Source organism: Homo sapiens, chromosome 10 (assembly GCF_000001405.40).
Source record: "Homo sapiens chromosome 10, GRCh38.p14 Primary Assembly".
Classification (NCBI taxonomy): Eukaryota; Metazoa; Chordata; class Mammalia; order Primates; family Hominidae; genus Homo; species Homo sapiens.
The window spans coordinates 70,808,373-70,821,914 of NC_000010.11; the positions used below are offsets into that span (position 1 = coordinate 70,808,373).

Genomic DNA, 13,542 nt, shown 5'->3' on the forward strand with positions numbered 1-13,542 from the left:
GCCAGGTATGGTGGCTCATGACTGGGAGGCTGAGGCGGGTGGATCACCCAAGGTCAGGAATTCAAGACCAGCCTGGCCAATGTGGTAAAACCCCGTCTCTATTAAAAATACAAAAATAGCCAGGTGTGGTGATGTGCATCTCTAATCCCAGTTACTTGGGATTAGGGCAGGAGAATTGCTTGAATCTGGGAGGTGGAAGTTGCATGAGCCAAGATGGCGCCACTGCACTTTAGACTGGATGACAGAGCGAGACTCCATCTCAAAAAATAAATAAATAAATAAATAAATAAAATTGCAGTATCCATGACATCTTGTCCTAAACCCCATACTTTGTGCTTCCCTTACATTGCTTTGCTTCCTCTCTTTCCATAGCCCCAAGCATCTCCTAACTTACCATATAGTTTACTTATTTATTCTGTTTATTAGTCTGTCTCCTTCTGCTGGAATGTAAGTTGCATGAGGGCAGGGCCCTTTGTTTTGCTCAATGATCCATCCCAGGTCCTGAATATTGCAACCTGGCATTGAATAGTTGTATGCATGTTGAATGAATGTAGCCTGAAGCCTACATTCCCAATTTGTAGCAGTCACATTGCCTGCCTGGGCCCCTGAAGGCATGTGTATTTGCCATGCCTGCCCCTACTGACCTGCATGCCAGCTTCTGCCTTCCGTCCCCCTCAGGCTTGTTTCTCTGGCCACACTGGCCTGGCCTCTCCTGCCCCAACACTGGCCCTCCGCACTTGCTCAGCCAGAACGCTCTTCCTGCCCCTCTCTGCCTGGCTAGCTCCTGCTCCTGCTGTGTTCTCAGCTCAAGCTGTCCTTGATCCCTCTGCCTAGGTCACTCCCCCAAGCACAGAGAATATTCTGTCCTTAGTCACTGACTAGAGGAAATTCCTTTCATTCAGTTTTCAGACATAAAAAGCTCTTCATCCCTTGTGAATTAGGGTGCCCCCCCCCCGCCCCCGGCTACCCTGACCTCTGAGCTGAGGATACAGGTGGTGCCCAGCCCCTCTGAGTCAACCCTGGAAACCAGTTCTACAGTGCCAGGCAAGGAGCAACCCTGGGCCAAGGGCTGAAATTACCCCACTGGTCCTCTGTCTACCCACGACTTATATAAGGCTGGGCCTCTTCATCATGTCCTATCTGTGTCAACACTCAGGAGAGGGCCTGGCCCTCTGGCAACATGTTCATCCTTCACAGCAGGGCCAGGACAAACACTCCCTGACCAAGTAACCACAAGACAGAGGGCCCTTCCTGGGCACCTGGAGACAGACAGATGGAGTTACCAAACAGAAGATTCTGGGAAGGGGAACCCCAGTGGGCCAAAGAGAACTCTAGACTGACAGAGGTGTGGAACAGCTTCCCCTCTCTACCCAATTTTGAGATGAGGAAATTGAAGCCCAGAGAGAGTCAATGGTGCATCCAAAGCCCCACAGCACAGCGTCCCAACAGCCCCACAAGAACCCACAAGCTTCACTGTGTTTTCTGGGTCTGGGCTTCTGGGGCTGGAATGTCAGGAATTCTAGGTTCTGCCCCCATTAGCTGCAAGACCAAGACTTAGAAAGAGATGAGAATGGTTAGAATGTTGCAGCTCTTATCCGGGAATGTACAAAATACAGATGACTGGGCCTCACACCTCATTCCTTCCATCTGCAGGAGGGCCCTGACATGTGGATTTTGAAAGGCTCCTTGGAGATGCTGACTATCCATGCTAGATGGGCACCTGGATGATGTTTAAGTCCCTTCTAGCTTGACAAATCCTCAGCTGTAGATATTAAAATGCTGCTTGTGCTGGAGTGTATCCCTGTCATCAGTCCACAAGAGAAGCTCTCACTGGGGCAGCTGGGCTCCCTAGGGAGCACCCTGGAAATTAAAAAAAAAAAAACTTTTGGTTGTCATAATGATGAGGCTGGTGCTTCTGGCATTCAGTGAGGGGAATACTGCAGTCCCTGGGGCAGAAATAAGGCCCATGATGACTTTTCTCTCTCCCCCAGGTGCTGCAGGCAGGGGCAACAGGCAGGTCCCTCTTTGTTCTTAGTGAGGGATGCATCCCATCACATTGAAGAATTGTCCTGAGTCCTGTACATCTTTTGAATGTACTGTCAGAATATTCATAGAGGTGAAAAGCTAGTTCATAGGCACATGAGCCATAATCAACTTCACTTTACATGTACGTTTAAAAAAAAAAAAACACCCTGGTGCAGTGGCTCATGTCTGTAATCCTGAAGCGGGTGGATCACCTAAGGTCAGGAGTTCGAGACCAGCCTGGCCAACATGGTGAAACCTTGTCTCTACTAAAAATACAAAAATTAGCCTGGTGTGGTGGCAGGCGCCTGTAATCCCAGCTACTCGGGGGACTGGGGCAAGAGAATCGCTTGAACCGGGGAGACAGAGGTTGCAGTGAGCCGAGATTGTGCCACTGCACTCCAGCCTGGGCGACAGAGTGAGACTCTGTCTCAAACAACAACAACAACAACAACAAAAAAGAACACATGATTTTATTGCACAACCTACCTGGAGTACAACTACCATGTTGAGAGCTGTGTGTAAATTGTCCTGCATTTTGTCTGAAACGTTATCGACCTTAAGCCACAGTTTTGTAAAATCACATCATCCATGGCAATGCTGCTCACATAGTAATTGAGTCACTAAGACACTACCTCTATACTGGTCTGCATCTGCAGCTTTCCTATCCATGATGATTGTATCTAATTCTATGAATAGCCTAATTTAGTCCTTATGTCAAAATGTCAAATATAAAGAAAGCAGTGACAGCACTATTCAATTAAATATTGCCTTCCTGTAATGCAAACATATCCATTGTAAGTCCATGCCTCTGCCAACTTCATGTATGATTTTATCGTGACATTCCCTTTTAAAATTATAGTGCTATATTGATTTCAAGATAGTAAAAGAGAGTTACAAAACAATATTTGTTATAAACAGGGGTGTTGGATCTGGTTGGTTTAGGACTTACTGATCTACAAGCAATAAAACCTGCAGGAAAACAGTAGATCTGTAGCTCTCAGACAAGCCTTGCAAAGGTCTAGCATGCCCTAGAGAGGGCAAGGGGCACGTTGGAAGGACTAATCAACTTGTTAGGATCAGGTCCTGATGGGGATCGAAACCAGCTTCCAGCAACAATGTGAGAGGGCTAGGCTGGGCTTAGTCAATCACACGGCTCAGATTGGAATCTTATTTGAGTACACCCTGGATGTATGCGGAGGGTGTTAGACCAATAATTCTTGGCCGGGCGCGGTGGCTCACACCTGTAATCCCAGCACTTTGGGAGGCTAAGGTGGGAGAATCACTGGAGCCCAGGAGCAGCCTAGGCAACATAGTGAGGCATTGTCTTTATAAATTAATAATAATAATAATAGTAATAATTATTGAGTGCTTATGGTGGATCAGGCCTCATATGTGATGGGCACACACATACATCTCTTACAATTGCCACAGCAGTCTTAGGGTAGTTGTTAATTCTTGCTTTACAAAGGAGGAAGCCCAGGCTTGGACAGTTACAACAACTTGCTGGAGGCCACACAATGATTCCTGGGTAGAAAGCTGTCTCCCTGCCTTCAAAGCTATTTTGAGGCCACACAATGATTCCTGGGTAGAGACCTGTCTCCCTGCCTTCAAAGCTATTTTGTCAAAGGAAGTTTATATTTATTCAGTGTTTGAGAAACAGCTGCTCTCAGTTTTTAATGTTTTGCTAGGAGTGACTGTGCAGCCTGGATAGCAACAATGGTGGGTGTATTAGTCCGTTTCACACTGCTATTAAGAACTTCCCTGAGACTGGGGCATTTATAAAGGAAAGAGGTTTAACTGACTCACAGTTCCACACGGCTTGGGGAGGGCTCAGAAGACTTACAATCATGGCGGATGGTGAAGGGGAAGTAAGCCCCTTCTTCACAAGGCAGCAGCAGAGAGAAGAACGAAGGAAGAACTTCCAGACACTCATAAAACCATCAAATCTCATGAGAATCACTCAGTGCCATGAGAACAGCATGGGGGAAACCACCCCCATGATCCAATCACCCTCCCTCCCTCGACACATGGGAATTATGATTTGAGATGAGATTTGGGTGGGGACACAGAGTCAAACCCTATCAGTGGGCTTCTTTACGAAAGATGAGGTTTCCTTGGGAAATAACTCTTGGCTCTCTGAGGGCTTGGCCACTCTGACTTTGATCAAACTGGCAACTGGGGTATGTACCTGAGTGAGGTCAGGGGGCCCATGATAACTCGGTGACTTGCTGCCCCTTGCTCACTCCAGTTGGCAATGTCGGGGCATTTGGTCCCTGCTGTGGGGGCTCCCATGTCTGTCTGGCCCTTGGCCTCTCCTCCCCTGGTGGCCAGCTCTGCTGTGATCAGCTGAGCCTGCTGCTGGAGCTATGTGCTGGTTTCCTGCCTCTTCTTGGGCATTCTGGGCTCTAGGAACTGTTTGTTGGTTTCCTGTGGGCCATTCCTTTCCAGGATGGGCCTAGAGGCTGCAACCCTCCTAAGATCTGCCCACACCCCTGTCCTGAGGTGAGCTTCTCAAGAAGGTCCCCGGCTGAGCAAGGGGTGTCAGGAGCAAGAATGGAGGCAGGAGAGTGTGTGCGCCTGCTTTTTAGAGTGGGAGTGTGCACTCATGCATGAGTGGGAGGCTGTCATTAACTTGGCCATGGATGGCTGCCATTTTAAGCAGAACCAGATTTGCTGGCATGAATTGTTTAAATGATGGCAGGCACAAGCACTGCAGGGAGATCCTCCTAGCCTAAATTAAAGAAGCCACAGAGGGAAAAAATCCCAGACCATCTTGCTCCACACCTCCCTCCCCCGTCCCAAGCCTTCCGTCATCTGCGGGAATTTCAGTGCCTCACTGACACCTGAATGACAATCTTTTGTCATCCTGGAAGGCACCATGATGGTACCAAAGGACAACTGGGGAGCATTGGTTCCCTCCCCAGCCCCAAACAAACACGTTCTTCATCAGCCTCCTTAAGCCATCCCAAACAACCCACACGCTTAATACAACTATCGTGCCTTCTATCCGGGCAAAGTGCCATGTGTCTGTAGACACAGCTACTCAGGAGGCTGAGACAGGAGGATCGCTCGAGCCCAGGAGTTTGAGGCTGTAGTGAGCTATGATAATGGCTGTAAATAGCCACTACACTCCAGCCTGGGCAACATTATTGAGACCATGTTTCTAAATAAGCAAACAAAAATTGTGCTTTCTCTGCAAACAGAGTGTCTAGGGAAGTGCTTTTTACTTTCTTGTGCATTAAGATCATCTGGGGACCTTGTTAAGCTGTAGATTCTGATTCAGGAGGTCTGGAGTGGGGCCCCAAGAACCTGTATTTATAACAAGCTCTCAGGTAAAGCCAATGCTGCTCTCAGGGAAACCACACTTTCAGAATGGAAGTTCCAGATAGCCCTCCTCTGCCTCTGACCAGCCAGCTATGTGCCTGCTAACGTCATTCTGCTGTCAGAGGGAGTGTGGGGTAGGAGAGCAGGGTGGTCTGAAGTCTTTCTCTCTCTCTTTCTCTCTCTCTCTCTCTCTCACACACACACACACACACACACACACACACACACACACACACACAGGGCTTCATCGGCTCAGAGAGTTGCAAACCCAGACCCATGTTCTAGGCTGGGCTCTGCCAGGAACTGCTAGGAGTCGCATCTCTCTCTGGACCTCAGTTTCTTCACGTGTATTTGTGTATTCTCTGGGGTGGAGCTGGCGAATAGCTGGAGACCCCTCTAGCCCTACCATTTTTTGATTCTAATTAACCAAAAAGGATATTCGAGGTCCCCGCTACAAATTCTGAACCCTTGGCTTCCCCTCCAAACTCCCACACAAACTCCACCCCATCCTGCCTGTGTGTCTTTGGGAGGATCATTTCCTTCTTTGGTCTTGGTGTCCTTGTTTACAGGTTGAGGGATGATAAGAGTCACCTGATCTGGGCAAGTCAGGCCATAAATAAGGCTTGTATGTAAAGGTGCCTAGCATAGTTCTTGGCAAAGCAAGGATCAGTCGATATGATTGCATTGGTTTGAGCATCTGGGAAGAATGAGCAGACTGCATACTGTGTGTTAGGGTGTAGGGAGGAATCAGACGTGACCCTGCCCTCTAGTCATCTGGGTGCACAGATTCTAGATTAAAGGATGTGGGGGTGGTAACTAACAAGGAGATGGAGAGGAGGTGTGCAGTTCCTGGGGGATCTGATGAAGAATTAAAGCAGAAGGGTAGGAGATGGAGAATGGGAAGGCATACCTGAAACCCTAAAGCAACTCTTGATGAGTAGGCATTGGCAGGAGGCCCCAGAACATTTTCTGACCCTCAAACACTGAGAATGCATGTCTGCTGGGGAATAGTAGTGAGGGGGCTAAGGGTATGGGGGTGTTCATGCCTGAGTCAGGGGCTCTGGATGGTAGAAATGTCTGGGAGTTCTGACGGAATGGGGGTGAGGAGGCCTAAAGATAACCTGTTCATAGTCTTTCAGGGCCTTAACCATTATGGCTGGGGAAGTGGGAAGTGCCGATGGGGTATGCAGAGGAGGGCAGCTGTGATAGTACATTTCATCCTGAAAGCACTACATGTGGATAATGACGGTAGTGATGATGCCCTAATTTTAGTGTCATGGCAACATTTTCCAAGGGGATGGAATTGGGTACCCTCATTAGTGTCATTTTTGTTTGAGAGATTTCAAGAGTCTATCTAGGTGTCATTTTAAAATCTATTGAAAAAAAATCTTGAATGCAGGTCACTGACCAGTTGGTTCCATGTAACTGCACTGCCTTCTGCTACCACTAAAGCAATGTTATGACAACCTGGACAAGTCATGGGAAACCTATGTGAGACTTAGTTTTTTCTTTTTCTTTTTGGAGTTGGGGGTCTCACTATGTTGCTCAGGCTGATCTAGAGCTCCTGGGCTCAGACAACCCTCCCGCCTCAGCATCCCCAAGTGCCGGGATTACCGATGTAAGCCACTACACCCAGCTGAGACTTAGTTTTTTCATCTGGAAATGAAGGCGACCTTTGTGATCCCAGTGGGCCCTTGCACTTGTGTATAAGGTGATTCCCAGCACTGCTCATGAAAGTAGTGATGGCAGAGTAGCCTCTGCTCTCCATTTTATTTTTGGGGTGGGGGGGGGCAGTGGTGGAGGGGAGGATGAGGATGATATTTCCATTAAATAAGTTTCCTTGTTGCTTTTCTTCAGGCACCACTGACCTCGATGGAAAAATGAAGTCCCTGGCCCAGGAAAGAGACCCAACTCTGTGGCTGTTTTGGATTAGTTTGTACAATGCCCTGCAGACCTACTCTCTCAGGAGGCTCCAAGTGACCAAATGTGACAAGAAAGTTTTTTGTCCAAGGCAGTTTGGAAGAGAAGTTGGTGACCGTCGGGATACCACAGCCGCCCCAGGACGGCCTGGTTGAGACATTCACTGGAGGGTCTGGGTGCAGCCCGCTGCCTGGCCGGTAGGCGGCGCGCACAGGCCGTGGGGCCCGGGTCTGGGCGTGCGCGCGGCTGGTAGCAGCGGGGCCGCGCACGCCAGGGTCCGGGAGCCGGGCCGGTGCCCCCGGAGCCATTTCCGGGAGGGGCGAGGCCGGCGGCTGCCGGGCCTCCAATCTCGGCGGCGGCGGCGGCAACAGGGGAGCCTGGGTCTCGCGGCCTGCGAGTCCGTCGCGTGCTGAGGGAGACGCAGGAGGTGGAGCCGGCCGGGTGCTCGAGGGAAGGAGACTGGAAGCTGGTTCCGGCGTGAGGAGGTGGAGGGGCCGCCGCGGGCTCCGGGGGGCGGTGAGGGTCGGGACGGAGGCGCCGCGGGGTGAGGAGAGGACAGGGGCCGGGTGGGCCGAGGGCGGGCAGAGGCGGCGGGGCGGCTGCGGCCGGGGCGGGGGCGGGGGCGGGCTGAAGGCGTGGGCACCAGCCGCTGAGGTCCAAGCAAGTGGACGGCGGGCGGGCGCGGGGCCGCGGTGGGGCGGGTCTGGAGCCCACGCCTGCCGCGGGGTAGGCATGGGCGGCCAGGATTTGCTGGTCCTCCGACGGGAGGGGTGACAACGAGAGCGAGGCCGTGCTGATTCTGAAGGGAGTGCGGAGGAGGCAGGACCCTGGTAGCCTCGGCACCTTCAGCCCGGGTTAGGTGGCCTGGGCTGGGCTCCCCACCCCGATCGCGCGCAGACGGGGCGTTTCCCCTAGTTTCCACCTGGGTGGAATGCTTTGTGGGAGTCTGGGTCTGGATTAGTTTCATCAGCTGTGGGAGGGAAACCTAGTTGCAGCAGGATTTTGATTCGCTGGTCTGGGGTGCTAGGGGTGGACTGTGATATCTGGGAATGAAATCTGAGCCTTCAAAGGAGGGAGAGAACCATAACTTGGCTGCTCTGGCGAATCTAGGCGGGCTGGCGAGACAGTTTAAAGCTCTAGAAGTAAACAAACCTGGTTCCCTTTTACAGAGTCTGAAAAAGGGGAGCGCGGAGAGGAGGCTGGAAGAGGAAGATGCCTAGCACAGACCTTCTGATGTTGGTGAGCCTTTTGCAGACATCCTCCTGGTTCCAAGGCATTTGTCTCCGTTTTTTTAGTCCAAAGGATCCCAGTGTGTAGATTTCACCTCTGATGCTTGCTTTTGGTAGCTGAGCGTTTTGCCACCTTTTATTTTGTTTTGTTTTGTTTTGTTTTTTTGGAGACGGAGTCTCACTCTGTTGCCCAGACTGGGGTGCAGTGGCATGATCTCGGCTCACCGCCACCTCTGCCTCCTGGGTTCAAGCGATTCTCCTGCCTCAGCCTCCTGAGTAGCTGGGATTACAGGCGCACGCCACCACGCCCGGCTAATTTTTGTATTTTTAGTAGAGACGGGGTTCTCCATGTTGGCCAGGCTGGCCTTGAACTCCTGACCTGTGGTGATCCACCCGCCTTGGCCTCCCGAAGTGCTGGGATTCCAGGCGTGAGCCACCGCGCCTGGCCAACCACCTTTTATTTTGGATGAATGATCAGGATGAATAAATAGCTGAATTAAATACATCAATACAGTATATGTAGAACTTAAATTATTGAAGAATCTTTTTCAAAATTATTATTATTTTTTTTAAATGAGACAAGGTCTTGCTATGTTCCTCAGACCGGAGTGCAGTGGCTATTTACAGGCATAATCATAGCTCACTGTAGCCTGGAACTCCCACTTCAAGTGATCCTCTTGCTTCAGCCTCTGGAGTAGCTAGGACTAGGAGCACAGGTCACCTCTCCTGGCTTTCTTTTTCATAATTCTTGCAGTTTTAATCCCTCCCTTCCCGTACTACCAGAGCAGTTTTGAAACCTCTATTATTACGTTTTATCAGGGTCTGCCATATACTAGTTTATCTGAGTGTTTGTCTTCCAGATTAGAGTTATGGTTCCTCGACAGGCAGATAATCATGTCTTCTTTGTTTAGAGATGAATAAACACCTAGCATGGTGCTCTGAATATAGTATGTGCTTAACAAATGCTTGTTGGATTGAACCAGTATGAATTTAAGTTCTTTTGTTGGACAGAGAGGTATGCCTGCTTTAGAGCTGTTTCCTCTCCTCCTGAGATCTTTCTGTGCTGTTTTACTGAGCAGGGAAGAATAGCGTTGCTAAATGCATGTTTACCAAAATGACATTTTATTTTTGGGACTTTTATGATTCCTTATGGACTTCTTAGTGTGAGAATTATGGAGAGTTTATAGCTTTGAAATGGTGGTATAGAAAAAGTGTCCGGGTTTAGTTTTTTTTGTTTCGTTTTGTTTTGTTTTGTTTGTTTGTTTTTGAGATGGAGTTTAGCTCTTGTCTCCCAGGCTGGAGTGCAATGGCACAATCTCAGCTCATTGCAACCTTTGCCTCCCGGGTTCAAGCGATTCTCCTGCCTCAGCCTCCCGGGTAGCTGGGATTATAGGTGCACACCACCATGCCTGGGTAATTTTTGTTTTTTAATAGAGATGGGGTTTCGCCGTGTTAGCCAGGCTGGTCTCAAACTCCTAACCTCAGGTGATCCACCTGCCTTGGTCTCCCAAAGTGCTGGGATTACTTACAGGCGTGAGCCGCCGTGTCCAGCCAAGTTTGTTTGTTTGTTTGTTTTTGTCACTTCTCTGAGTGCAAAATCAGTGCTTTAAAAACAATTCATTTCTCTCTCTTTATCTCACTATCCCAGAGGGTGGGTTGGCGTCACTGGGAAACTGGCAAAAACTGGTAGTGAGATTTCCTTATACTGGGTGCTGACATCGTAGTGGCATAACCTGTAAGGTCTGCAGGGGGGCTAAAGAAGAGAGAAACTAAGTTTTGATCCATTGTGATTTGAGGCAGGGATCTAGGATAATTTTAGGTTGTATGTGAGAGACATAGATGAATACTTAGGTTATCCGCAGATCCCAATGAAAAGTTCATCTAAAATAGTATCTTGCCCCAAATTTCATGGATTTTTCAGTTTTAATTAATACCCTTATATAACTTAAAATTCTTATTCAAAGACCATTATGTTAGAAATACTGGAAACTATAAGTAAGCAAAAGGAAAGGGGATTTGTTAATCTCCCCTATCTCCTACATCCCCTTCATTCGCCTCTACCCCGTGCAGTAATTTATCACCCAGAAATAACCGCTGTGAGCATCTTGGATGGTTAATGCAGAGTGACTTGTAGCAATTGACAGTTTCTGTTTATCCTCTTACAGAAGGATATGTTTATGTAAATTATAGGTTCTTATATGTAAGATATTTCCCCATGCACAGAGATATGGTTATTACTTATAGGGCCTATGCATTTACTTTAACAGAACAATGACTGCTTTTACTCGGAATATTAACTTTGGAATCAGTTTTCTTTTGAGGTATTTCTCTAGCTGTTGCCACCACCTTTCACCTCCTCACCTGTTAATTTAGAATGTTTAGGAGTGTTGCTTTGCTTGTTGCTGTAAGGAATTAATCCACATAGATGCGAGTGGCCCTAGGCAGTCATCACTTTCTGAAGACAACATACATGTTGCATGAAGTGCTTTCACTGGAAAAGTTGTCATTCATTCCTTGACTGTAATGTATAATGCTATTTGGAACTAACTGGTAAAGAACCAATAACCATGGCTGGGTTTTCAGTGGCACACTAACCCATCATTCTATGAGGTGTTTCTCAAGCTACTTTATATGATATGTAAAACATGTTCTTGGCCCTCCACCTGGGAAGAAAGGACCTAAGTGAATAAAAAAATAACCTCAGTGCAGTGCAGCATCTCAGAATTAGAAATAGTCTTAGAAGTCATGGGATGCAGCTTTTTTTTTTTTTTTTTTTTTGAGACAAGGTCTCACTCTGATGCCCAGGCTGGAGTGCAGTGGCATGATCTCAGCTTACTGCATCCTCAATCTCTGAGGCTCAGATGATCCTTCCACCTCAGCCTCCTGAGTAGCTGGGACGACAGGCACATGCCACCATGCCCGGCTGATTTTTGTATTTATTTTTTGTAGAGATGGTAGTTTGCCATGTTACCCAGGCTGGTATCTAACTCCTGGGCTCAAGGGATCCAACCGCCTGCCTTGGCCTCCCAAAGTGCTGGATTACAGGCATGAGCCACTGTACCTGGCCTGTGATGCAGCTTATATTATACATGAATCTGTTGAAGAGTATCTCTGGTAAATGGATATCCAGTCTCCCGTCTTTTCTGCTAATGGAATAAGTGAGCAAAAGCTAGGAAACAATACAAGGTGGATTCAGGAATAGTAATGTTAACTCTGATAGCTAACATTTATTGAGCATGTATTACATGTTAAGTGTAGGAATACTGTACTTATTTAATTTTCACAAAAACCTTTTGGTATCCTTCTTTTACAGATGAAAAACGAGGCTTATAGAGAGTAACTACAGCAGTTGAGTGGTGGAGCCAAGTTTGACCTCAGTTGGTCTGACTTCAGATCCCTCCCTCTTGCCTACTTTGTGTCCTTACCCCTGGTAAGGGTAGAGGTTGCTGACCATTGTGACTGATGGGAGAGGGTCTGTGTGGAGCAGATGGGATAGGATAGCTCCACCCTCTAGGGGGCACTTTGGCAATGGGGGACTGGGGGAGGAGGGAGTCTTTTTTCTTCTAGTGTAGTCTGAAAATACATGTTTTATTATTAAATTATTATTAAATCTTGTTTATTGGGTCAGGCGTGGTGGCTCATGCCTGTAATTCCAGCACTTTGGGAGGCTCAGGCGGGCAGAGTACTTGAGGCCAGGTGTTCTAGACCAGCCTGGTCAACATGGCGAAACTCTGTCTCTACTAAAAATACAAAAATTAGCTGGGCATGGTGGCGTACACTTGTATTCCCGGCTATTTAGGAGGCTGAGGCAAGAGAGTTGCTTGAACCCGGGAGGTGGAGGTTGCAGTGAGCTGAAGCTGCACCATTACACTCCAGCCTGGGCGACAGAGCGAGACTGTCTCAAAAAAAAAAAAATTTGTGTTTTATTTTCTTTTACGTCGCATTTAATGAATTATATTGAAATTTTAAAACTTGTATCTGCAGGCATAGTGTTATAATCTTTAAATGCCATGTCAGAGTAGCAAAAGGGATTACAGAATATTTGTTATAAAAAGAGGGCATTGGGTCATAGAGTTGAAGACTACTTGTGTGGACAGTATGCTGTGAGAGAAAACCTGGAGATGACCTGGAGTCCACATATAACAAGCCTTGAATCCAGACTGACAGGCTCGGGCTATCAGCCCTCAGTGTGTTCCTGCCCTCAATTTTGTTATCATTTGATTAGGATAGTTTGCTTGCCTTTTTCCATTTGCTCGTATGTGATGTGTCATAGACTGCAGTACTTTCCACCTGTGTCTCATAGAGAATAAAATGAGTATGTTCATCTGCTGAGAGTTGTGATGATGTCAGAGGGAATTCAAGTCAGACAGCTTTGTAGCAGCCTTTCTCCCCCTTGGCAACCATTCTTTTTATTCATACTCTCCTCCTTGGTGCTAGAGGGTGGTATCACTTTGCAAGTTGCCAAATATTTGTAGTTTTTAAGAAAAAGGTATTTTATAAAGCCAGTCTACCCCTTAGGTGGCTTTTTTCTTTTCTCATCAGAAAATGATGACTAAATTAGCTGATATTCATAGATGAATCAAGGTTAGCGTGTGCACCCTGGTAGTGCTAGGTGGGGTTTGAGTGATAATTGCTTATCTAGGGCAGTGGTTCTTGACCAGGGGCAATTTTGCCCTCTGGGTGACATTTGACAATGCCTAGAGACATTTTGGGTTGTTACACCTGAAGGGTTCTGCTGGCATCTAGTGGGTAGAGGCTAGGGATGCAACCAAACACCTTACAACGCACAGTTTCCTGCAAACAAGAATTATCTGGCCTAGAATGTCAATAGTGGTGAGGTTGAGAAACTGGTATGAAGTTTCTTACCATAGATACCTGGATATCTGTGTAGTCTATGCTTTCATATGGGTGGGGGAGTGATTCCCTTCTTGGAGGTTAACGTGTCTGTTATTGTCTCACTTGGGGTTATTTTGCCCATGGGTCAAGCCTTGCTGCTCAGGAATATATATTGGAGATGGTGCAGCTGATCTTTTATAGCAATGCA

General features: G+C 47.8%; 1 protein-coding gene across 8 annotated transcripts in view, besides 3 other annotated features; it reads left to right on the forward strand.

The window, feature by feature from the left end:
• Positions 7,372–7,691: a silencer, noted in NCBI's record as "silent region_2451". NCBI's record gives its function as "represses an Ori minimal core promoter by ATAC-STARR-seq in GM12878 lymphoblastoid cells {active_cell/tissue: GM12878}" and the evidence as "EXISTENCE:reporter gene assay evidence [ECO:0000049][PMID:35858748]".
• The window catches only part of SGPL1 (sphingosine-1-phosphate lyase 1), a 65,237-nt gene continuing 59,270 nt past the window's right edge, over positions 7,576–13,542 (forward strand). For 2 of the 8 annotated variants that reach the window (NR_199385.1, NM_003901.4), the window contains exons 1-2: positions 7,576–7,754; positions 8,439–8,508. Coding sequence is in view for 6 of the 8 variants with exons in the window: in NM_003901.4 (NP_003892.2) it covers positions 8,482–8,508 (27 nt within the window). In the remaining 2 variants the exon portion in view is untranslated. Of the gene's footprint in view, positions 7,814–7,910; positions 8,124–8,438; positions 8,509–13,542 lie in introns of those variants that run through there. The other 6 variants (NM_001438353.1, NM_001438355.1, NM_001438357.2 and 3 more) reach the window with 5 other exon arrangements.
• Positions 7,712–7,801: a silencer, noted in NCBI's record as "silent region_2452". NCBI's record gives its function as "represses an Ori minimal core promoter by ATAC-STARR-seq in GM12878 lymphoblastoid cells {active_cell/tissue: GM12878}" and the evidence as "EXISTENCE:reporter gene assay evidence [ECO:0000049][PMID:35858748]".
• Positions 7,882–7,991: a silencer, noted in NCBI's record as "silent region_2453". NCBI's record gives its function as "represses an Ori minimal core promoter by ATAC-STARR-seq in GM12878 lymphoblastoid cells {active_cell/tissue: GM12878}" and the evidence as "EXISTENCE:reporter gene assay evidence [ECO:0000049][PMID:35858748]".